We start from the raw sequence: 25,466 nt of genomic DNA, 5'->3' as shown, positions 1-25,466 counted from the left end.
CTTGTCCCCTTCATCCACATGCATGTTTTGAATTAGACAGATGAAAACACAAATCTCCAATATCTCTTTCTTTCTGAGCAGTACATGTTACCCAGACTAATCACAGGTCATTGAAGGGGTTCAGTTGAATGCAATGATCACATCTTTATTCTTCTTTGGAATAGCTCACAGTGTCCCATCCACAGGCAACTTCACAGCAAGAGGGAGGGCTGGCACAGCCTCATACCTGCTGCCAGAACACAGGGACATGTAATAGTTTTCCTTACCTTTACATTTGAAATCCTCCTGTTGGGGGTTCATTTTGCCCACTGCCCAGACAGGCTGATTTATCAAGACAGAGGAACTGCAAGAGAGAAACAGTTAACTAATTCATGCAGAGCTGGCTCAATGGGATACCAGAGTTTTATTATTACTCAAAACAGTCACCCCCAAAATTTAGAGGCTGGGGTTTTTTAAGGATAATTTGGTGGGTAGGGGGCCAAGTAGTAGGGAGAGCTGACTGGTTGGGTCTGAGATGAAATCACAGGGAGTCAAAGCTGTCCTCTTGTGCTGAGTCATTTCCTGGGTGGGGGCCACAAGACCAGGTGAGCCAGTGTGTTGATCTGAGTAGTGCCAGCTGATCCATCAAGTGCAGGGTCTGAAAACTATCTTGAGCACCAATCTGAGGTTTTACAATAGTGATGTTATCTGTAGGAGCAATTGAGAAGGTTTAGAATCTTGTGGCCTCTAGCTAGCTGCATGACTCCTACACCATAATTTCTAATCTTGTGGCTAATTTGTTAGTCCTACAAAGACATTCTGGTCCCCCCGGCAAGAAGAGGGTTCATTTCAGCAAAGGGCTGTTATCATCTTTGTTTCAAAGTTAAACTATAAACTAGGTTCCTCCCAATGTCAGCTCAGCCTATGCCCAGGAATGAACAAGGACAGCTTGGAGGTTACGTGCAAGATGGAGGCAGGCAAGTCAGATCTCTTTCACTGTCTTAATTTTCTTACTGTTATAATTTTTTGCAAAGGTGGTTTCAGTGTTTTCTCTAAAAGTCTTCCAGTCAAACCCAGGAGGTAAGTAAGGCACAGAAGACCTACAGCTTAGGGCACCCATACAACTGTGCCCACCTCCCCACAGTGGACACCCCACAGCACTAGCTGCAGTTCTCCTGATCCTCACTAGAGTAGGTCTTGACATATTTGTCCTTCCCAAATGTACTTGGAATTACCTAACATGCATTAGGCCCAGCTGTGCTTATGGTGTTGCTCAGCTCCCTCCCACCAAGCAACTGTAATGGCTGATGCCTTCTGGGTGCTTCCTGTTGAGAGGGCTTTATGCATCATCTCAAGTCATCTTCACGATACCCCCAGACAGCAGTGCTGCTAGCATTCCCATCTCACAGATGAGGACACTGCAGTGCAAAGAGGCTACACAACTTCCCAAGCAACTAAGTGCCGTGGTAAGTTATGCATAAAGCACATGGGAACACTGGTAAAAGAGTAAGTTAATAAAAAAAAAAATAGTCATAACTAACGCTTACTGAGCTCTGTGTATCAAGACCTGGGCCAAGTGCTGCGTGAACTCCCTTTCCTTAAATCCTCGTATCAGCTGGTGTGGCAATTACATCAGAAGCATTGGCAGGCTCTGCTATCAAGGAGAGTGACCACATTAAAAAAGGCACTGTCTTTTGACCTTTTGCTCTATTATCTCTCGCTCTGACTGCTAATGTTTCAAACGGAGGTTGAACAGAACCAGCTTTCCCACTGCTTCCTTGAATGTCCTCTCATTCTTCACAACCATCATGTCTGGGATAACAGGTGGGCTCCCGGTTCTTCCCCTCCCAGAACTCCAGCTGTGCCACTAGGAATTATTATTATTCCCAACTTAGAAATGAGGGAAGAGAAGCTCAGATAAGCTAAGTAACTTGAGTGAGTTCATTCAGCTTTCAAGGGAACAAGTCATGGTGGGGAAAGGGAGGTATAAACCCAATGTCTGGCTCCAGAGCAAACAAAGAAGATTAGGGCATCTCAGGCAAAGGAAACAGCTCAGACAGAAGTATGAACACATGTGTTTGATTAAGAGCTCTAGATGAATGTGTACGGTGGAGTATAGGGCACTTGGTGAGCAGCAGTTGGGTAGTAAAGGAATTTGTATGTTGTAGGGGAGGAAAAAACTTTTCCTCTCCTCTCTCACGTTCAGCCTGTGGGGTCTGCAAATTGAACTGACAAAAGACAGATGAGCAAGACAAAAAAAAAAAAAGAGTTTATTTACACCTGCAACGGAGAGATTCAGTGAGGAGTAACTCATCCCAATAGACAGAGATAAAGGGTTTATATACCAAACTTAGCTAGGGGACTGGGGAGGAGTGTCAGGGCTTCAGTGAGAAGGTATAGAAGGTTCTATCAGGCTTTTTGATGTGAATAGAATGGGCAGTCTATCTCCCTGGCAGCTGAATTCACAGGGAAGACCTCAAGGGAGGGCTACTGACAGCTGTATTTTCTGAGAGGTTCTGCTTTACAGCTTTTAGAGAAGTTCAGATAGTAATTTCTTTCTGCATCTTCTTTAGCTTAAATGTTTTGTCTTCAAAATATTATGTTGGTACAAAAGTCATTGTGGTTTTTGACATTAAAAGTAATGGCAAAAGTAATCTTGATACCAATTACAGGGGTTTTGAGTGGTTTCCCACCATGCCTGGTAAAACATGGCTCTTTATCCTTCAGCCAGAGCTTTTTAAAGCAGTGTTTTGATATGATTTGTTCTACTTATCACTAAAACCTTTGGCCAGGGTATATCAAAATAATTTAATTGATTTAGTTAATTAGCAAAACCCATAAGGAAGGATAACAGCACTATTATCCCACTTATGTGAAGAAGGAAACCAAGGCAGAGAAGTTAAATGATGTGCAAAGGATTGTGGATTATTAGTCACAAAGCAAAAACCTTGTGACCCGGTCTTCCAAATCCTGGTCCTGAACTCTGTCCAAGAAAGCTGCCAATCGGCGTACACTTGCTCCCGTACTAAAACACAGGAAGAGCTCCAAGCCCTAGTTACTCCCACCCTTGCCACATTCAGGGCCTACTTGAGCTGCATTACTTATGTGCCGTCTCTTCCACAATTTAGCCGACAAATGCCCGCCACTCTCAGTGTCTTTTGTGTTTGTAGGTGGAAATATTTATTTACAAAGCAAGAAAGAAAATTCAGAGCCCAGCTGACTTTGCCATCCTATGAGCCTCTGAACTGCCTGTTGTACTTTCCCTCTCTAGGTCAGAGCAAAAAAATAATTAAACTTCAGCAAACTGAGTGACTGCGTTTCAACAAGTTTAAAGCATCTCATTGAAGAAAATACACCTCAATCTGGTTTGAGATCCTCGGCAGACTTTGTCACCCTATCATGTTGGGTAAATCCTTTGAAGAATTCTTAGAACCTCATCACAGGAAAGGGTGGCTTAGGGGCCTCTAGCTGTTCTCTGGGCTCCTTTGAGCTCAGAGTTTTGATGTTAGGTGGGGCCAAGAAAAATTGTTTGCAGGGAGGGAGGAGGATGGAAGGAGTGGCAACCATGGGCCAGAAGAACCAGTCACATAAAACCTCGGCTAGCCAAGTATATGACTTCTGAGGACAGAGGGCCCCTTCTTCATACACTGCTATGTCCCCAGCCTCCAGCACGGCACAATAAATATATTTTAATATAGTTCAAATATATTGCTGACTAAGCAATGAAGAAAATAGGAAGAGGGGACTCAACCAGGACCCTGGAGACAGTGGCCTGGGGAGGAGTCCTGGTCCCAGGCCCCCAGCTACATGACCTTGGGCAAGCTGTAGAACTTCCCTAAGCCCATTTCTCCTCTAAAATGGTGGTCATAGGAACATCTACCTAACAGATATTGGGGCCAAGGGAAGACTTCCCCATCACCTTCTGATGTTTCGCTGGAAATTGCTGACAAAAGCTGATTAATAGGAGACAAGGCAGACACATGTATTTGATCATAGTTTTACATGACACCGGAACTTTCAGCATGAAGGCCCAAAGATACAGGGGGAACTGTCTATTTTATGCTTATGTTCAACAAAGTATGGACAGAAAGGGTCTGATCTAACACTTACTGACTGGGGAATCCCAGCACTGTCCATTTCAATTCTTCTGGGTGTCTTGTGCAGTGTTTCTTCCTACTGGGTGTGGGGCAGGACCCTCTCTAGGATGGGGGTCTGATGACCTACAGTCAAACAAGGCAGGTCAGATAATTTCTTCATGGCCAGTTTTTACACAGAAAGACAGTAGGAAAGTTAAAGTAATATTTTTAGGTTATGGCTGGCTTGGAGGAAAAGGGTTCTGGCTTCTATTACCCACTTTGAGGAAAAGGGATTCTAGTTTCTATGGTTAGCCTTGGGAGAGAATGAGAGGTCAGAGACAGGAGGGAAGGACAAAGTCAGAGAGAAACTGTTGCTTTTGAGGCCTTCATTTCGGGGTATTGTTTTCTAAGACCATACACATAGTACCCATGAGAATTGAAGGAGAAGCCTCATAAAAACACTTAGCCTGGTGTCTGTCACCTACCAAGTGCCCAATACATGTTAGTTATTATTAATTAAAAATTCAAGATTGTCCTCCCTGATCCCAAAAAGTCTGTCATTTCAGTGAACTTCCAAATTTTTTTTCTTTCTTATTCCTAGAAATGGTATTTGCAAGATGGGTGTATTTCTACATCTTTGTTCACCACCAAACAAACCAAAACCATTTCCTCAACCAGTTCATCAGTTCCTCATAAACAAAGCACAACTTCTCAGCCAAAAGTTTGTCATCAAAAGCTTGCTTTCTTCATTGTTTAACTCAGTTGTGTTTTGTTTCTTATTTTCTGGGAAATGTTGTTTTCCTTAGGTTCTCTTGCCCAGAGCCAGCAGTCAGGCACCACTGTTTCCATCTCACTAAGCACATCATAGGCATCCTGGGGAGATAATGGATTCCAGAGAGCAAGGGGCCACTTACATGGAAGAGCCCAGAGTCCCTGGGTAAAGGGTGACAGTGCAGAAACCTCACTAATGCACTCTTTCCATTACCATTCTGCAATTTTTCCTGTCTTCCACTATTACCTTCGATTAAGCTTTACTCTTTAAAACCCTTCATCTGCCCCGGGGTCATTATCTTTCATCTGACACAGCAGTCGGCAGCCAGAGATGGCCCTGGCACTTCTCGGAAATCTCAAGGTTTGGGGCCGGATAATTTTTTAGAAGCCTCCTTAACATGGTTCTTTACCTTGAATGTTTTCAGCTTTAACAAAAGCCATTTGAACACGGGTCTGGAAAAAGTGATATACTTGAAGAAAAAAAAAAAAAAGTCACTGGCTTTATTTGTGTTCTGTTCCCTGGAGGTGGGCAGGCCAGAGTGGAGGTAGACCACTGAATTGATTTGTTTTGCAACTGATTTAGCAGCTATGGGTAGATTCTTGAATTTTCTTTGGTGTGTCATTTTAACTCATTTTGTGTCCTGACAACTCTGGAAACCCGGGCTACTCCAGTAGCTCTTTCACCAGCCAAACCTGAGAAGAGAGAAACTGAGGTGGGCCAGAACTGATAGGAAAGCTGTGCTATGACCCCAAGAGAATCTCACTCTGGAGCACTTGTCTACCAAAATGTTGGAAAATCTTTTATTTTCTAACACTCTGTTTCACTTCCCCACACTCCCACTTGCATCTTCCAGAAATAATTGAAATCCTGGTCCTTAGTCTCTACATCATTTAAAAGTGTCTGCTCCTGTAATATGTGTGTGCTGCCACTGGATGGCACCAGAAGTCACAACTCTGTTGGTATACTATGTGCCAGACACCTTGCTAGGCATTAAGAATCCAGTAGTGAACAAAAAAGACAGGGTCCCAACCTCTCTCTCTGAGTCAAGCAGGAAGGCAGACCTTAAACAAAATATTATAAATATTTGAATGACAATGCTGAGAGGAAGTGTCCAGAGGCTAATCCTGGGAGCGGGCAGAGACAGCAAGGTTCACACATGTTCTATGGCCCTCCCTGCATTCTCCAGCCACCTTGCAGTTAGGCAAGGCCTTGTGACCATTGAGGCCAATGAGATGTGAGTGAAAATCATATGTGACCCCTTAGAGCCAAGGTAGAGAAAAGTGAGTATAATTTCTCTATGCTTGTCTCTTCCTTTGCTGTGGTAGCTGGTAACATGATGGGTGGCAGAGCCTCTGCTAGACTGAATCCCTGGGTAAGTATGTGGAGGACAGCCATCATAGAATCATCACTAACCCCATGCTTCTTGACCCCAATCCTCCACAGCTCATGTTGGATAGGTAGCACAAATTTTTATTGAATTAAGCCATAAAGAGTTGGGGGGTTGTTTCTGCAGGTATGTCAGTCTGCCTAAGGACTAACTTTCTAGCTGCAGAGATGGAACTAAGAGTGGAGTCTTTCTCCTCTAAGTGAGTAGGCCTTTGCATAAGCAGCACAGACAGATGAGGGATGGAGGAAACAGAAGCAAGCTGCATTGCCACCCCCTATCCTCCTGGGACCAGTGAGAAGGAGGGGACTTCCTAACCAAAGAGGCTAGGAAGGCCTACAGGGTCTTAAGCGTTTCAAGCAGCATACTGAGCACATGATAGCAGACCAAAAGGGTATGATTATTTCAGCAGACCCAGGTTCTGGCCAGGGGAGAGCAGAGCTTGATGTAGCTGATCTCAGTAGGGGTAGCTTGTAGACTTTTCCCAGGCTGCCCACAGACATGGCCGTGGGGTCTCTCTATTACAACAGCCACGAACATAATGGAAAAAAAAAATAGGTAGGTAGCTGTGTGGTTAGTGGGGGCACCAATTACCCCATAAATCAATTTGCTGTGTGTGTGGAGTGGGGGGTTGTTGGAGCTTCTTATTTTGATATAATTTCAAACAAGAGAAAAAAATGGAAGAATCATAGAAAGAACTTCCACATACCCTTCACCAAGGTTCACTAGTCCCCTTAAAAGTAATCTCTTTCATACCCAACCTAGCTATAATGCCTAACTCAAACTTCAATATTAAAGTTTCATGAGTCAGCTTTATATGTAAGATTTGCAAAACGTGATAGAATACTGATATGGTTTGGGTGTGTCCCCACCCAAATCTCAACTTGAATTGTATCTCCCAGAATTTCCACATGTTGTGGGAGGGACCTAGGGGGAGGTAATCGAATCATGGGGGCTCATCTTTCCCATGATATTCTCATGACAGTGAATAAGTCTCTCGAGATCTGATGGACTTATCAGGGTTTTCTGCTTTTGCTTCTTCCTCATTTTTCTCTTGCCGCCACCATGTAAGAAGTATAAGAAGTACCTTTCACCTCCTGCCATGACTCTGAGGCCTCCCCAGCCACATGGAACTGTAAGTCCAATTAAACCTCTTTTCCTTTCCAGTATCGGGTATGTCTTTATTAGCAGTGTGAAAACGGACTAATACAAGTACGCTTAATGTATAGTTATTTTATATTAAAAAAAAGTAACACTCATTGGAAAAATAGGCAGAGGCCATAAGTAGCCATTTGAAAAAAGAAACAGAATGGACAAAATTATGAAAAGTTCAACCCCTCTAGTAATAAATGTAAATTAAAACCTCATTTTCCACTTAGCAGACTAACAAGTGTTTATACGTATGATTATACTTGTGTTGGCGATAGTATGAGAAAATACTATCGCGCTGTTTCTGGAAATTGGTTCAACGAATGATGTAATTGGCTTGTCTGGCAACAAATATCAAAAAAAAATTTTTTTTAATGCACTTGCCTTTTAGCACAGCAATCTTAATTCTAGGAAGGTATCTGAGGGAATAGGCAAACAAATGTCCCTGACCCACCCCAAGAAGAAGTGTATCTATTGGCCGGGCGCGCTGGCTCACACCTGTAATCCCAGCACTTTGGGAGGCCGAGGCAGGTGGATCACGAGGTCAGGAGACGAGACCATCCTGGCTAACACGGTGAAACCCCATCTCTACTAAAAATACAAAAAATTAGCCAGGCGTGGTGGCGGGCGCCCGCAGTCCCAGCTACTCAGGAGACTGAGGCAGGAGAATGGCATGAACCCAGGAGGCGGAGCTTGCAGTGAGCCGAGATGGCACCACTGCACTCCAGCCTGGGTGACAGAGTGAGACTCTGTCTCAAAAAAAAAGAAGAAGAGGAAGAGGAAGAGGAAGAAGGAAGAAGGAAGAAGAAGAAAAAGAAGAAGAAGAAGAAGAAGAAGAGAATCCATCAAAACAAGAGGAAGAAGAGGAAGAAGAAGAAGAGGAAGAGGAAGAATAAGAAGAAGAAGAAGAAGAAGAAGAAGAAGAAGAAGAAGAAGAAGAAGAAGAAGAAGAAGAAGAAGAAGAAAGAAGAAGAGAATCCATCACAACATTATCCAAAAAAAAAAAACAAAAAAAAAATCAGAATGAAGGGACTTTGGTCAATTAAATGATGGTGTTTTATAGAAAGCACTAACACCACCTACATAGCACTTATAGAACGCCTGGCTCTGTTCTTAACTCCTTGCATATATTAACTCATCTAAGCCTCCCAACAGATAGGTACTACAATTACTGTCAGCATTTCACAGATGATGGAACTGAGGAACAGAGAGGTTCGCTAACCAGGTCATAAAGCTAGTCAATGCAGAGCTAATATCTGCATCTAGGCGGTCTGGTCTGAGTCAGCTCTCTTAAATTTACATTACACAACCTTTCATAGGATGTGTAAGCCTCTCTCTGCAGCTACTAAAATGACAAAATAGATTGTATTCGCTGTCATGAAAAATGTTCATAATATATGCATGAGAAAAGTCGATTATGAAACATTAAGTACAGTTTGAAACCATTATTTTAAAAGGAATTATATATACATGCATATAAGAATGTATAAAAAATGGCCAGGCACGGTGGCTCACACCTGTAATCCCACCACTTTGTGAGGCTGAGGCGGGCGGATCATGAGGTCAAGAGTTTGAGACCAGCCTGATCAACATGGTGAATCCCCATCTCTACTAAATATACAAAGATTAGCCAGGCATGGTGGTGCATGCCTGTAATCCCAGCTACTTAGGAGGCTGGAGCAGGAGAATCGCTTGAACCCAGGAGGCGGAGGTTGCAGTGAGCCAAGATCATGCCACTGCACTCCAGCCTGGGTGACAGAGTGAGACTGTGCCTCAAAAAGAAAAAAGAATGCATAAAAAAATTTCCTCAAAAGATTAACAGTGTTGGGATTGTGGGAGAAATTTACTTCCTTTACATCTCTTTATTTGCTAAGTTTTCTGCAATGATCGTATAATTCTTGTAATATAAAATTTTAAATGAATAATTCTACTACTCAATCCTGCTTTCTCCTTTGTCCTTCCACAAATGGTCTCAGGGACACTCCCTAATAAATATCCTGCAGACTGACCTTTATCTCAGAGTCTGCTTCCCAGAGAATTCAGCCTCTGAAGCATCCCAACAGTGCCAAGAGTGGTCCAAGAAAGCAGGCAATGAAATGATGCTTAGGAGCAGGCTCACTCATCACCTGGCTAGCAATGAAGACCCCATCACTGGAGGCAGAGGAGCACAGACAGCCCCTGTTCCAATGACTAAAACTTCCTCTGTGGTGAATTAGAATGGTGCATAGGGAAAAGGGAGTACAATAGCTGGTGCTATGTACTCAGTGTTAGAATAATATAGGGGAAAGAGTAATCTTAGGGAAGTGAGATAGGACGGTGTTGCTATACTCCATTGAAGCTTTACAGAAAGAATTTAGCTCAACAAAAGGCTGAGAGCAATTAATAGGCTATTGAAAGCCAGCGTTAAAGTCAGAGGGTCTTTAGGAAGGTAAAGAGGCTTTCCTCACCTGAAGAGAGAGGGCAGGAAAAGTTGAGGCCCAGGTACAGACCCATGTCTTAGTGGTGATTTTTGCCAGAACTCCAGGGAGGGCTAAAACTCTTAATCAAGGCAGGTCTGTTATGTCAAAGTTAGGAATGTGGTTGGGGAAAAATGAATCCTGACCTGTGAGGTGAAATGGAATATATGGGTTGATTTTCCCTACACTCTTGAGTTCCCAGATTCCTCTAAATCTTTTCCATCTGAAGAAGAAAGTGAACCACCTCTCTCTGTTAAGAGCTAGGACCACTCCTACTTGAAGACAATGCACAGGCCTCTATCTCCCCTCCAGGCCACTGGGCCTCTAACTGTGTCTTCTAATTAGGAATAAGTTGCAGCTTAACCCAGCTGCAGATGTGCTGGGCCCAGCAAAAGAGAAAAGGGACTACACACCAAGGAGATCCACCTAGCATGTCCACACATGGGACTGGATTCTGAGTTACTTGATCAAAGAGGCTAGAACATAATACTGAATAAGAAAAATGTCGACAAAATAAGTCAAACTCTGTAAAATATTTGAAGGGATTCATTCTGAGCCAAATACAAGTGATGAAGGTTCAAGGCATAGTCTCACGAGGTCCTGAGAACATATGCCCAAGGTGGTTGGGTTACAGCTTGATTTTATACATTTTAGGGGGACAGAGTTACAGGCAGACATTAATCGATACATGTAAGGTGTACATTGGCTCAGTCTGGAAAGATGAGACAACTCAAAGTTGGGGGTGAGGGGCTTCCAGGTCATAGGTGGATTCAAAGATTTTCTGACTGGCAGTTGGTTGCAAGAGTTATTAATCTAAAGACTTGGAATCAATAGAAAGCAGTGTCTGGGTTAAGATAAAGTGTTGTGGAGACCAAGGTTCTTATTATGTAGATGAAGCCTCTAGGAAGCAGGCTTCAGAGAGAATAGAGGGTAAATGTCTCTTGTCAGACCTAAAAAGGCACTAGATTGGTAATCTCTCCTGTATCAGGAAAAGACCTGGAAAGGGAAAGGGATTCTCTACAAAATGTAGATTTTCCCCTTAAGAGACAGCTTTGCATGGCCATTTCAAAATATGTCAAAGAAATATATTTTGGAGTAAAATATTCTGACTGCTTTCAAGGCCTGCTATCTGTCATGTGATGTTATCCTAGAGTCAAGTTGGAATTTAGTATCTTATTGCTACAAACAGTCTGTTTTGTCAGTCTTAAGATCTCTGTTTCAATCTTAATGCTGGTCAGTTGTGCCTGAACTCCAAAGGGAGAGGAGTGTCTAATGAGGCATGCCCAACTCCCCCTTTCCATCATGGCTTGAACTAGTTTTTCAGGTTTACTTGGGAATTCACTTGGCAGAGAGAAGGGATCGATTCAATCAATTGAGCGACTTATAATTTTATTTTTGGCTTATAAAAAGTTTATTGGTTTAGGAGTATGTTTCTGAAATGCAGATTTGAACATTCTGGCAAGGACCCTAAGCAATGGTATATTCTAGTCTCTAGGCTACTTCTTAGATGCATGGGAAAAGCAATGGCTCCCACTAAGGGAGGGTGAAATGCCAGAATTACTCTAGCAGCTGCTGGAAGAAGGGATTGAAAGATTCACAGAAGTGGGCATGCTGGAGTAGATCTACCACGTGAGGCCAGGATACTCACCAAATGATTACAGTGCACAGGAAAGCCATAAGCAGTACAGATGCAGGCACACCAGCATCACTAAAAAGCACAGTGATGCCTCTTCTTCGTAGGTCATCGGTAACGGTAGAAAAGGTGATCACAGAACACAGAACTAAGCTAACTGATAGCAATAGAGATGATCACAATCACCCTGCTACCCAGTGGGGGTAGGGGGAATAGAGGACAGATGATGATGTGTAGCTGTCAAAAATCAGATAGATCCAATGATCACAATGAACAGCAAAGTTGGAGCAGTCCAGAGGGCCAGGCCAAGACAGCCATGGAGAAGGTTAAGAAAACACAGCATGCCTAGGGGCAAAATAGATGGACAGTTAACAAAGAACTCTTCAATTCACCATCAAAACAAACCAAAAATGAATGATCAAGACACTGAAGGGGCTGGGCACAGTGACCCATGCCAGTAATCCCAACATTTTGGGAGGCTGAGGTGGGTGGATCACTTGAGGCCAGGAGTTAAAGATGAGCATGGGCAACACAGTAAGACCCTGTCTCTACAAAAAAAAAAAAAAAAAAAAAAAAAAAATACAAACATTAACTGGGCATGGAGGTGCACGCCTGTAGCCCCAGCTACTCGGGTGGCTGAGGCAGGAGGATTGCTTGAGCTCAGTAGGTTGAGGCTGCAGTGATCTGTGTGAGCAGCCTGGGTGAGAGAATGAGACCCTGTGAAAAGAGAGAGAGAGAGACAGAGAGAAGGAAGGAAGAAAGAAAAAAAAGAAGGAAGGAAGGAAGGGAGGGAGGAAGGAAAAAAAAAAAAAACAGAGGGCAGTTGCCCCAATAAAAAATCCATGATTTCTTGCCCAGTTATTGGAACTAACCCAGGTTTTAGACTTGGAACCCAATGATGGAAGGTGAAGCCAAGTTCCCAGAAGGAAGGACTTTGCAAAAGAGAATCTACAAATGGCCAATAAAAATATAAAAAGCTGTTAACATCAGTTGTCATCAGGAAAATACAAATTAAAACCAAGATGAGACACCATTCCCACTAAAGTTACTCATATCAAAAAGACTAGCATTACCAAATGTTGGCCAAAATATGGAACACTTGATTTAGGATCAAAACTCAAACTCATATTCATCAGGTGTGAGTCCTTGCAGAGTCAAAGTATACATCAGAAACTAATACTGCCCTCCCCAATTCCCGAAGAAGTATGCAAAGGGTTCAGGGTAGAAGCACCTGCTGCTGTGGCCTTTTTTTCGTATATTAAAAAAAAAGACTTTCATCTCTTTCTGGAAATACGTAAACTCTGAAAAAATTTTGGTGGGTAACCTTCTGGACTTTTTTTAATACTATGCAAACTGTTTAGTAGCCTATTTTTTAGACCTAATTTTAGACTACAAAAATTGAGAAGGTGGCACAGAAGGTTCTCATGCCCGTCTCACCCAGTTTCCCCTATTATTAACATCTTACATTAGAATATTAAATATATTTGTTATAATTAATGAAGTAATATTAATACATTATTATTCATGAAAGATCATGGGTTTTTTTTTTCCTTCCAATTGCCTCAGTTTTTCCCTAATGTCCTTTTTGTGTTTCAGAATTCCACCCAGGGTACATAGGACATTTAGTCCTTATGTCTGCTTAGGCTCCTCTTAACTGTGGCAGTTTCTTAGACTTACCTTGTTTTTGATGACCTTGACAGTTCTGAGGAGTACCGGTCAGGTGTATCAAAGGATGCGCCTATAATGGAATTGGTCTGTTGTTTTATTGTGGTAAGACTGGGGTTATGGGGCTCCACTGGCTTTTTTCTTTAATCAAGGATTTGGATCACTTGGGGGCTAAACTTTGAAAATGGTCCCAATTACTGACTGAAGAGAGAGTTCTTTCTGATCTCTGGAAAATGTGTCTCTTGCCGCTTTAGTGGGCTGAGCTAACGTTCAAATTCTCAGTCAAAAATAATAGAAAAGAAAGTCTTTGAAAATTTGCTTTTTAAAAAGACCTCCTCTTTGTACTGCAGAACCTATAAAGAAACCTCTATCACCATGTGCTTTTATTTAATTAACATTTGTTTAAAAAGTACTGCTTCCCTGTATTCCATGGGCATATAGGTCATCTTTCAGTTCAGCAAAGAGATTTTTCTAATCACTTTATAATCGTTGTGTTTTAATGAAATTCCGAGGAGCAATTAGTTTTTATGAAGGTAGTTGGCATTCAAATATTACTTGTGATTGAGATTTTGTTTTACTTTTCTTTCAGCACAAAAGTGGAAGTGCATGATATAGAAGAAAAATCAGTGCACGCTTAATTGGCTTTCAATAGAAAAGCAGGCAGCTGCTCTTCTTGATATATACATTTGTGGCACTTTTTTATCTTGTAAATATCTCAAGCTAAATAAATGAAAAGAAATTTTGAGGAAACAACAGTTTGCCGTATGAAAAATATGAGCTTTCTTTAAAGTACAACTTACATACAGTAAAATATACAAATTAGACATCAAATTGATGAATTTTGAGAACTGTAAACCCATGAGTCTTCTATCCCAAACTAAATAAGGAACATTTCTATCATTGCAGAAAATTCCCTTGTGCGCCTTTCCAATGAATTTACCCTTATTTCTCCCCAGAGAAATAACTTTCTGATTTTCATCACCAAGGGTTTGTTTGGCTTATTCCTGATTTCATATAAATGGAATCAGACTGTAAGCTTTTGTGTCTAGTTCTTTCAGTTACTATAAGATATTGAGACTAACCAGCCACAATAGCATCAATGCCCAGCTCAAAAGACATAGCTCCACTGGCCTCTATGCCCAGCAGGCCCATCTGTAATATTTTGTTTTTACTTTACTTTTTTTTTATTTGTGAGACAGAGTCTCTCTCTGTCAGCCAGGCTGGAGTGCAGAGGCACAATCATGGTTCACTGAAGCCCCCACCTCCCAGGCTCAAGCAATCCTCCCACCTCAGCCTCCCAAATAGCTGGTACTATAGGCACATAGCACCACACCTGGCTAATTTTTGTTGTTGTGGTTGTTTTGTAGAGACAAGTCTCACTGTTTTGCCAGGGCTGGTCTTGAATTCCTGGGCTCAAGTAATCCTCCTGCCTCGGCCTCCCAAAATGCTGGGATTACAGGCATGAGCCACCAGACCCAATCCATCTGTAATCTTCTGTTCATCCCCGATAACTTTCTTTAGCTGGGATACTGAAATGTAGGGCATCTCTAGAAGAAGGATCTGGGAGACATTTAAGACTGAGAAGCAATTGAGAGAATTCAGGCCTAGAAACAGACTTAGGAGAAGGAAGAGAGAAGAAAAAGCGGGACAAATAATGGTCATACAATATTAGGTCTGTCATCTGAAAGGGGAAATAGACTTTCCATGTACAGTTCCAGAATTAGAACTCGTGGGTGGAAATTACTGGGAGGCAGTTTTCAGCTCTATATAAAGAGGAACATCTTTCAACAACAGGTCACTGGGGTACCTTGAATGGTAGTTAAGCTTCTCATCACAGGAATTGTTCACAAAAAGGCTAATATCCATTTGTCATAGATGCTGTTAAAGGAAATCCCCCATTAGGTAGGCGAGAACATCTTCCTATGTCTTGTGGCTTTCAGTTTAGACAAAGGTAGGCTTTACCTCCACTTTATACTAGCGGGTCAGTGCTGGGTTTTTTATTTTGTATATTTTATATTGGCAAGAAGGTCATATGATTTTCACCCCATGTACCTTAGAAACAGCTGCTGCCATGAAAACTTATTAAGCCTAAGTATTCAGAACTCAGAGTGAATTCTGCATTTTCATTTTCTCTCTCTCTCTTTTTTTTTTTTTGTTTTTTTTTGAGACAGAGTCTTGCTCTGTTGCCCAGGCTGCAGTGCAATGGTGCAATCTCGGCTCACTGCAACCTCCGCCTCCCGGGTTCAAGTGATTCTCCTGTTTCAGCCTCCTGAGTAGCTGGGATTACAGGCATGCACCACCACGCCTGGCTAATTTTTGTATTTTTAGTAGAGACGGGGTTTCAAACCATGTTGGTCAGTCTGGCCTCGAACTCCTGACCTCGTGATCTGCCTGCCTTGGCCTCACAAAGTGGTGGGATTACAGCAGATCCCAAGTTGACCTCTTTGACCTACAAATCTCAATTTATTTAAAATTATTATTATTATTTTTTTGAAACAGGGTCTCACTCTGTCACTCAGGCTGGAGTGCAGTGGCATAATCTCAGCTCACCACAACCTTTGCCTCCCAGGTTCAGGCAATTCTCCTGCCTCAGCCTCCCCAATAGCTGAGATTACAGGCACCTGCCACCACATCCAGCTAACTTTTGTATTTTTAGTAGAGACGGGGTTTTGCCATGTTGGTCAGGCTGGTCTCGAACTCCTGACCTAGGTGATCCGCCCATCTTGGCCTCTTAACGTGCTGGGATAATAGGCATGAGCCACCGTGCCAAGCCCAAATCCCAGTTTTAACAAGTATCTTCATTGTCTTCATAGTTTGTCCTTTGCATTTTTCCTCCTCCACCGGCTTTTTAGCTTTAATCTATCATAAAAATGTTTCAAACAGCTATGTGATGCCTAGAACTTTCCTTCCCTTTCTCAAAGCCACCATCCCTGAGAAGCCGGTCCATGAACCTCACCCGCTTGCTTCACTCTCTGACTCCACCTCTCACAGTCTGTAAACAGCCAGGGCATGCCAGTGTGACCTCATTTACACATTGCCTTACACAAATAGCAAAATTGTTTTTAGGAATACATGTTATGTTTCATAATACCTCAAAGCAAAGAAATCTCATTTATTTTTTAATCTACATGCATTCAGCAACGTGATTTTTACGGTGAAAGCAGAAAGGGCTCCCACATTGCAGCCCCAGGTGATTCATGGAGAGAAACCACTCCCAGTGGCTGCCCCCTGGGAGGCCTGGTCAAGGCGGCTCTCCCGGTCAAGAAACATCTCATGAGGCTCTCCTTCCACCCAAATATTTACATGAGGCTCTGCCCAGCCACACCCCTTCAGGAGACCAGATGGGCATGACTGAGCTAAAAGAGCACACGGATGAGGATGCAAAAGAGCTAACGCAACCTTGACTTTTCAGAGCTGATTCTGCTTTCAGAGACCATCTAGTCAGCCCATTCACCCAGAGAGAGGAAATGGCATTCACCCAGCGCCTACCTGTTAGTAAGGGGGCAGAGCTAGGGCAGGAACTCACGTTTCCCTATTTGTGATTAACTCATCTTATACGATGAGCTAAACATGGATGAACAAACGTTATTGTATCAATGGGAACTGGTGTAACACACAAACTGCGATTGACTTGGTCAATCACTACTGTCTGACATTGACTCCCTAAACCCCAGTTTCCTCTTCTGTGAAATGGGATATTCACACCTACCTTATGGTGTTTGTAAAGACAAAGAGGGCAGAAGGCATGGAGATGGCCTGCTGCCTATTGACATTCACTATTAAAAGATTCCCTGCTCTTTTGTTGCAACTCAGCCAGCCTCTAGCATTCATTTCAGGTCTGGTGTCTCCCTAAAACATACCAAAAATTGTCTCAAACATTTGAAATATGATTAACTTTATGGGCAACATTAAAATCCTCCTCTTTAAGGTGAATATTTTTCACATTATCTTTCTGCATCGTCTGGGCTAGTCAGAGGACATTTTTGAAAGTGTTTTGTGACTCAGCTGCTGTTTGAAACATCTGGGGCTTATTTTTCACCTTTGAAGAACACAGTACCTCTCACTTCTACCTCTTGTAGAGCATCAAATACACTGGCACATTGGCTAAGGTAACACACATGCAAAAAAAAATTGAGTGAATGATGCCTGGATGGAAACTTCTCCCCAAGAATCTCTTACTTTAGTTTCCAAACATACTCACAGAGGATAAAGGCCCTGCCGGCACTGGGAGGGAACAATAGAGAGGGAGGGAGAGAGTACTCTTCCTTTGTAGGAGGTGGGGAACAATGAGACTCAGAGAGATACAGAGTAATCATGCTTTGGGTTGGGTAAATGGGCCCAGAGCATAGCCTGAGCTTCATGACATTGCCATATGTTCCCTGGCTGAGAGGTGACTCAGAGGCAGGAGTTGTGGAGGAGGTGAGGCCATCCACTATTGACCTAATCTGCCATCAGGCAAGGCCAAGTAAGTGGGCCTGCTGTTCTCCACACCCCCAGTCCCCAACAAGCATACAACACATACTCACACCCCGAAGCTGCAGCCTGTTCTCTCAGGACTTCCCCTTCAAAGCTGCCTTAGTGCTCTTCGTAACCTGATTTCACTTCTAAAAAACATGCTGTAGGGGAGGAAACACCCAGAGAAATCTGTCCCAGCTCTGTATCACCACCCCTCTCACTCCAGATGGTTCTAGTTGCGAAAGTTTGCATTCTGAGCTTTCAGATACGACTGTGCTCCACATCCCCTCCACCCATAGACCTTCGGAAATACCCCACTGTCTGATCAGGGGAACCTCCCATTTGTGTACTCATGTATTCTCAAATTAGGACTATTTACTTTGTCTTGGTATCCTGCACACATTATCACTTTTTAATTCTGACCCTAAGAAGCATGTACTGTTATCCTGGTTCAACGGAGGGAAGATGGAGACTTTAGGGAGATTACTCTCTCAGTAGGAAAACAGAATTCTAACCAGGTCTGTCTCCATAATGTTGCTCGTTCTACAATTAATTTCTCCCTAAACTGAACTCTCAAAAGGAATTTTTATTTTTTCTCTTAGGAAAATGAATCGATGCCCCAAAATTATTTTTAAAGCAATACAATGACATTCTTGGTTGCATATACAAAATCGATTGCCTTCTTTTTTTTTTTACCAATATAATCCCCACTTTGATTTTTGTTTCCTACAGCCCATGTCTCAAAGATGCTGATCCCACCCTCAGATCCAGAATGGGACAAACTAGCATATGAATATCACTTTCCTCTTGGCAGTGATTGGTTCAGAAATGGCCATGTGAGCCAATTCTGGTCAATAAGACTAGAGAATAGATTTGATAATGTCTTCTGGAAGCTTCTTTCTCAGTTTTAAGAAAGAACCACAAATAGTAGTCTCTCTCTCACTGAATGTGAATAAGAAAGAAAGCAGCCACAATGACTACTGATAGCCATCCCACCGTAAGAAGAGCCAGACTTAGGATGAAGCCAACCAGCCAACCCTGGGAATGTCACAGAAGAGAATGAGAGTAATGAGACATCACTTAATGACATCACTAAGACATTGGCTCAACCAACCCTGAGGAACACCCCCCACCTCTGGACTTCCTGCCTTGTAAGCAAAGAAATGTCATATGACGTTAACTGATTTGAATTAGGTTTTCTGTTTTTCACAGCTGAAAGCATCTTTAACTGATGCTGGGATTCACCACATTTCCTGCATCTGCAGAACTAGGCAATCATCATTCACATCTTAAATTATGGTCTGGAGGTACCACACACTCCTTAATCAACAAACAAAATGCAGATTTTGCAGGCGGTGAGTTCCGTGTGGTGCCATAAAGATGGCCACACATTCTTTGTCATTGGGAGGCCATTGAGAGTTGACATAAATTTCCCCTTCTCTTGAATCTGGGCTGGCCTTGTAGTTATTTTGACCAATAGAATGCAGTAGAAGTGACACTTAGTAATTTCCAAGGCTGACCCTTAAGAGATTTTTCAGCTTTTCTATGTGACTTGCAACACTTTCTTGAAACACAGCCACCATGCAAGACATCTACCTACCCTGTGGCCACCAGTCTGTGAAGAGCCCACACTAGCCATAATAAGAGAGACAGAAAGAGGGTCAGGGTGGAATAGCACTGAGGTACCAGATGTGGTAACACCTTTTGAAATGTAGCCAAGTGAAACCAGCAGAAGCAATATAGAACTGAATGACTGCCTAGTAGAGCCCTCTCCAAATTTATGACTCACAAATAAAATGGTGGTTGTTTTAAGCCACTAAATTGTGTGGTAGTTTGTTATATAACAATAGACAACTGGAACTGGAAGAAAACATAGAAACTTCTTTTTCAAAAGCTTCAATAGCAGTAGGAAAGCAAAAGCTTTCTGTGAACGCTTGTCTAAATACAAACTTCATTATCCAGCACACTCTCCTTCAAGTGCCTCAGTTAATCCCAGTTTTAAGGATGTGTGGCCGTGTTATAAGCTGCATATACACTGCACACGAGTGTCTATAAAGATGATGCTGCTTTATCCCATTCCTTTCTGCTTTTCCCTACCACAATTAGATCTCAGGTTCTTATCAAAGTTTTTAAAAGGCCAAACACAGTGGCTCATGCCTGTAATCCCAGCGCTTTGGGAGGCCAAGACAGGCATATCGCTTGAACTCAGGAGGTCAAGACCACCCTGGGCAATGTGGTGAAACCCATCTCTACAAAAAAATACAAAAATTAGACAGTGTGGTGCACACCTGTAGTCCCAGCTACTTAGGAGGCTGAGGTGGGAGGATGGCTTGAGCCCAGGAGGTAGAGGTTGCAGTGAGCCAAGATCACACCACTGCACTCCAATCTAGACAGCAGAATGAGACTCTGTCTCAAAAAAAAAAAAAAAAAAAAGGAAAAGAAAAGAAAAAAATGTATGTGAGAGGGTGATTGATGATCAAAGGGAGCCCACTTTCTTGGTCTCATGAACATTCTCCGTCAAAACACACACATATACAACCCCTAAGTGCCAGTTCTGATTAGACTTGGGTCTTACTATGCTTGGCTTGGCAGGATTGCACTATTGTTCAAACATTTGTCCCATAAAAAATCAGCAGAATTTGAATTAACCACTAGTTTCTTTTAAGCTGAGCTGACATTTTGAGCTACATTTATTTTAACTAGGGATTTATGACAGGAAAGGAATAGTTCTAATTAAATAAGTATTAGCCTCACTGTGAATAATGACCCCTTGGAAGTTTCCCAGTCCCCTAATAGCTAATTAACAGCTCATAACTGGGCTCTCTTTGTATCCCAAGGCAAGTGTGAAAAGGAAGACTTGACTGATTAATGAGATGGGCTCAAACCGGATTAAAAATGAAAATTGGCTTTACGGACTCCAGACCTGCAAATCTACTCTGCGTGAAAAGGAGAGATTATTTTTAAGGCATCCTGGGCGATCGCTGTGGGAAAAGGGAGCACACAGCCAAAGGCATTGATCTGTTAACGCTTTCCCTGTGACCCCTTTCACAGTGGCTGACAGAGGACCAGACAGCCAGCGGTGAGAGAGCTGGCCTCTCCATTGTCATGACGCCTATAGGCTTGGGGTGGAAAGCCAAATAGCCTTCATAAAGACTTGCTCTTCCTTTGTCATGTTTGTATTTCAGACAAATATTAAGGCAGACAGATGGCAAATTAGAAGTCAATAAATACCACTTTCCATCTCTGCCATTCCATTTTAGAATGTGTTAGAAGCCCTCCTCTTCTCCCTCAGTCAGAGGCTGGAGACTAGTTCTTCAATATTAAAGGAGATTGTGCTCAGCTTGCCTGAGGCAATCGCAAGCTGGTACCATGCCACCTCCCACATAACACTTTCTCTGGCACTTACCAGAAAGTGTTTTTGAATGGGCAGTTGTGGACTCTGGAAAAATGCTGCATGTATTTTCAGAGGCCCCTGTCTGCTGCAGATAGCTCCATCCCTTTCATGTAGCTTTTAGTTGCAGCCTCACTTGCTAAGCGCTCGGCAGGCCCCTACTTTTTTTCTCTGCTCGCGTACCCTGCCCCAAGAAACTTTAAAATACTACATAGAGCCAATATTTATTTGGCCAATAGAATTCCATTCAGTGCAAGGGAACTGCTTTCAGTCATCATGGGGAAGAGACAGGGGAGTACCCCAGATTACCATGAAATTTAAGTTCCTTCTCAGAGTAGCCAGCCCACTCCTACCCCTTTGGAACTGAGACTAGGTTCTAAGGTTGAGCCAGAGCAGGGCCACATTATAGGGGTGCTGATTTGGGGTCACCACAGAGCAGTTGTGGGTCTTTATCAAATAACTGGCCCCAAAACAGCAGATTAAATGGTGAGGGTGGAGGAAGAACAACTTCCTTTCTGAGCTTATAAGTAAGATTTATGATCTGCCATTGCCAGGAAATGGAATGTTACAACTAGATTGCCACTGAAGTTCAAAAACTTAAACCTATGTTGAATTTAACCTAATCTTTATTTGATGATTTTAAAAAGACATTTGAGACTCTAGGTGTTCTCAATTCTTCATAACAAATCTTTTGACAAAAGTGAGTAAGATCTAATTAACAGCTCAAAAGATCAGGAAGTCAAAAGATCAGAAACTTTACCAGCCTGTGTGCGCTATGCCTACCCTGCACCCTGGAAGGTTCCTAACCTTCCAATGGCTTTAGTTGCCTCTTTACCATCTGACTGAGCAAGGACAGGACCACAGCAAGGTAAAAGCATTTTCCCTCTCTCCCAAGAATATACCCTCCAATCTGTGCCCCTTGCTTTCTTCTACTGGTACCCCAAAATGGATCAGATATCAAGAACCATCAAACATTATACTACATAGCACAAAAACAAAATTAATACACTGCCCCCCACACAAATAAAAAAGTGTATAAAAAACACCTGGCCCTTATCTAATCTTTGCAAGGCTTAATGCCAAGAAAGGTGTTAACTCTCCAGGGAGGATGGAGACACACTAGATATCAGTTAATTAACACTCCCAGTAGGTGAACAGAAGTGCTCTCCTAGGCTGGAAAGAATCTCATTTTCTTCTAAAACTGTGACTTCGGACTGACACTTCAAAATTGTCAACAGTAACTTAAGGGATGAGAATGTCTCTTTAGTTATTTTAATCAGCAGCATGTACGGAGTGCACTTTGGTGCACATCTGTTTGTGGGAAGATAAAGAAATAACTACCATGTCTGTCCTGAAGAAGTTGATCAGGTTAAGTAGGACGTTAAGACTAACACAGATTACTCTGTAAAAGATACTGATAAACATGTAAAAATTAACATTACACTGTACACTGGTGTTGTGTGCATCTGGTATAAGAATGATCAAAAGTATGGACGTCTTTTAAATGTCAGCTGACATCTTCAAGGATGAGGACATTTTGAAACAGTGTATTGGAGGAAGTGGTAGAGTCAGACTAACAGCAGAGGGTGTGGAGCAAGGAAATCCTGTGCAGGGATGGCCAGAAAATCTGATGGAATCAGACAGTTAAGAGGTCTAAGGCTTCACAGAAGAAGAGATGGAGATAAAATTATAGCATTTGCAGTTACTAAAGTAATGAAGAGGAAAACAAAAATCAATAGCATTACTATCAAAAATTGGAAAGGGCATGGAGTAAAAGAAGACAGAATGATCTGAATTTTCACCTTTCACAGCAAGTAGACAATGAATGTTATTGAAAGTGAAGAAATCAAGAGACAAAACCATCAGCAAATTATTTACTGAGGTGACCACCGAAATGGCTAAAATTATAAATCATTAAAGAAAGGAAGTAGGGGAAGGGAGGACTCAAAATTGTCATTTTGAATTTTCCAGTACTGACTGATGTTTTACCACGTTTATGCATTACCTTGATAATTTTTAATGGACAGTGGCAGCCTCTGATCTTCCAAGTGCTTTCAAAATATCAGGGCATATTTTATCATATTTATGATAACCTCCAAAATATGCTAGGTATGGCTGGAAAAAACAAAACATAACTCCTCCAAAATCCAGTACTTCGTAAGAAAAAAGAAGCTTCAGGTGTTCTTTGTAAATTATTCATGCTAACCAAGTCTCAGTATAGGTTGCCTAATGACTGATAATATATTTTGATACCTTCACTCTTCTTATTTCATTTTCAAGGGCTACTGGTTGTAGCCAGATACTAAAACTGGGCACTTTCAGTTACAGAAAAATTATCAGCACTTACAGGGGACTTGGAAATACCGTTGTCCTAAAATCCTTTATTCTCATTGTTAAATCACTAAGTCTAAAGTGAATCAGAGTTTTTCATTTTCCCAAGGTCCACAAAAAGTTGATCTAATATTTGGTTTCTCATCATTGTCTTATCTTCCAATTGTATTACATTCCCAGATGACCAAATCCTAGGATGTAAGAGTCTATTTTAGGGCTCATCTGGTTCAGTTTCCTCATTGTAAAGTTGAGCAAACTAGGACTCTTAGGGCTTGGTGACTTGCCCATGGGCATGAACAAATTAATAAACCTACCAGCTGTCCTCTCTCTGGCCCTTCTTTTAAAATGTTATGATATATGGTTTAATAACAACCTTGGCCAGGACTTTTGATTCCTATAATTCTCTTCCACTGACTTTCCCCTACCCCAGTGAAATCTTAGGTAGAAACTTCTTAAGAACAGTAAAAAATTACCTTTACCACAATAAAGACGTGAGTCATGTACCAAAATTTCTCTCCCACCCATCACTTCTTAGGCGCTTAGTCTTAAAGCATCATTTTTATTCTTTGAAGGCAAAACAGCCTTTAAGGGTTGGATATTCTTAATTCAGTCAATGTGGGAAGGGGGAGGTGAAAAAGGAACTCTCTGAGGATAATCACAATGAGAACAAAAGCTTATCCAAATTATGCAATGCATTATAATTATGCTATAAAATTGCTCTTCAGCCGGGGTGTCAATGGAGAGCATTACAATTTTTAAATAGTTCTGTTCTTGATGGGAATTCTTGATCATTTGAGGTGTTCACGTGTGTGCATGCACATTTAGACAAACCATGGAGCTAAAAGCATCCAGAATTTTGCTATCCTTCCCCCACAATTAAAAAAAAATTAAGAAAAGGCAAAAGCAACAACAATAACTCTATATGTACATGTAGGCATTGTCTTTATGGTGGGATCCTTGAGAAGGAAGAACTGTGGCTCTAAAATCAGCACATCTGAAGATGTCCAGGGCTGCTGGGAGCTGTTGGTTTAGAGTGTATTTGCCCAAAGCTGTCAGTCCTCCTGCAGATGAAGCTCACTGTGCAGAACAAGCAGTTGAGTGTGTTCCAAAAGTGAATAGGAGAGAATGCTAGAAACGAAGGGATCAAAGTAGAAGAAGGTGTAAAGCATTGATGTTTTCTAAGTAGCTGTCTCTCTCAGAACAGCACTATGCTGGGCATTTTTGAAAGCACAAGAAAGCAAAGACTTTTCTTATTTATAGAATTGAGGAAACCAATGGTTTTAGCTACTGGCTCTTGGCATGCCTATAATAAGAGAGTCATGATTTACAAAGATACTATTTTTAAGAGTTGTTCTGAGTTTTAAATTCCTACTTTAAGATCTCTCATTTTTCTCTTCCTTACCTTAAACGTTAACTGAATTGGCTATTTTTTTTTTTGATGTTCATGTTTTTGTTCTTGTACATAAATGGTTCCCAACCTGGCTTCACATTAGAATCCCCTGGGAATCTGTAAAAAAGTAATGCCTTCCCCCAAGACCAATTATATAAGAATCTTTCAGTCTGAGCATCAGTATTTAGAAAAGCTCCCTAAATGTTTCCAAAGGGCACTCCTGAGTGAGAACTCCTGCTATCGACAGTATAACAAGATCATTCTGTAGAAACTTTAGTGAAAATCAGTTTTGCCTATTAATTTAGTCAAAAGTTCTGAGTATGTGAACAGGCCCCATGTGGGACATAAAACCAACTGTACCTATTTCAAGACCTGTAGATGCCAGTGGATGACTTCAGAGAGTCTGTAGAAAATTCCAGAATTTAGTCACTTCAAGTCTGGGACCCATTTTATTTATTTATTTATTTATAGAAACAGACAATGCATTCTGGATTGTCTGTGGTAAGCATTACATTTGTGCCTCACCATGTAGTTTTCCAAGAGTTTCTTTTGTCAAAATCTTTTCCCAGAGACTGACCAAAACTTCTACCCACTCACAATGGCCCTGGAACTCCTTTTGCAAAATAGGTATGTTCTAGCTGGGCCTATCTGGTAACAGATATAATGCATACTTGACCAGAGTCTAAAATTTAGAACTAGATTGGCAGTGTTTGCTATCAAGAAGAGGGACATAAGCTCATGTGCTATCAGTCACTGCCTTCAGTGACATTTCTTTCCCTACCTTG

General features: G+C 41.9%; 1 long non-coding RNA gene across 1 annotated transcript, besides 4 other annotated features; it reads right to left on the bottom strand.

Annotated features, from left to right (window-relative positions):
- Positions 1-384: 384 nt before the first annotated feature.
- LOC105370775 (uncharacterized) lies at positions 385-17,686 on the bottom strand. Its single transcript, XR_007064584.1, has 2 exons — positions 17,641-17,686; positions 385-687 (listed from the first exon to the last, which is right to left on the bottom strand). It is a non-coding gene; the product is annotated as an uncharacterized LOC105370775 (long non-coding RNA).
- Positions 15,112-15,171: an enhancer, noted in NCBI's record as "active region_9213". NCBI's record gives its function as "activates an Ori minimal core promoter by ATAC-STARR-seq in GM12878 lymphoblastoid cells {active_cell/tissue: GM12878}" and the evidence as "EXISTENCE:reporter gene assay evidence [ECO:0000049][PMID:35858748]".
- Positions 16,100-16,149: an enhancer, noted in NCBI's record as "active region_9212". NCBI's record gives its function as "activates an Ori minimal core promoter by ATAC-STARR-seq in GM12878 lymphoblastoid cells {active_cell/tissue: GM12878}" and the evidence as "EXISTENCE:reporter gene assay evidence [ECO:0000049][PMID:35858748]".
- Positions 17,842-17,961: an enhancer, noted in NCBI's record as "active region_9211". NCBI's record gives its function as "activates an Ori minimal core promoter by ATAC-STARR-seq in GM12878 lymphoblastoid cells {active_cell/tissue: GM12878}" and the evidence as "EXISTENCE:reporter gene assay evidence [ECO:0000049][PMID:35858748]".
- Positions 19,095-19,164: an enhancer, noted in NCBI's record as "active region_9210". NCBI's record gives its function as "activates an Ori minimal core promoter by ATAC-STARR-seq in GM12878 lymphoblastoid cells {active_cell/tissue: GM12878}" and the evidence as "EXISTENCE:reporter gene assay evidence [ECO:0000049][PMID:35858748]".

This window comes from Homo sapiens, chromosome 15 (genome assembly GCF_000001405.40).
Source record: "Homo sapiens chromosome 15, GRCh38.p14 Primary Assembly".
Classification (NCBI taxonomy): domain Eukaryota; kingdom Metazoa; phylum Chordata; class Mammalia; order Primates; family Hominidae; genus Homo; species Homo sapiens.
This window is presented reverse-complemented; position numbering and strand designations above follow the sequence as displayed.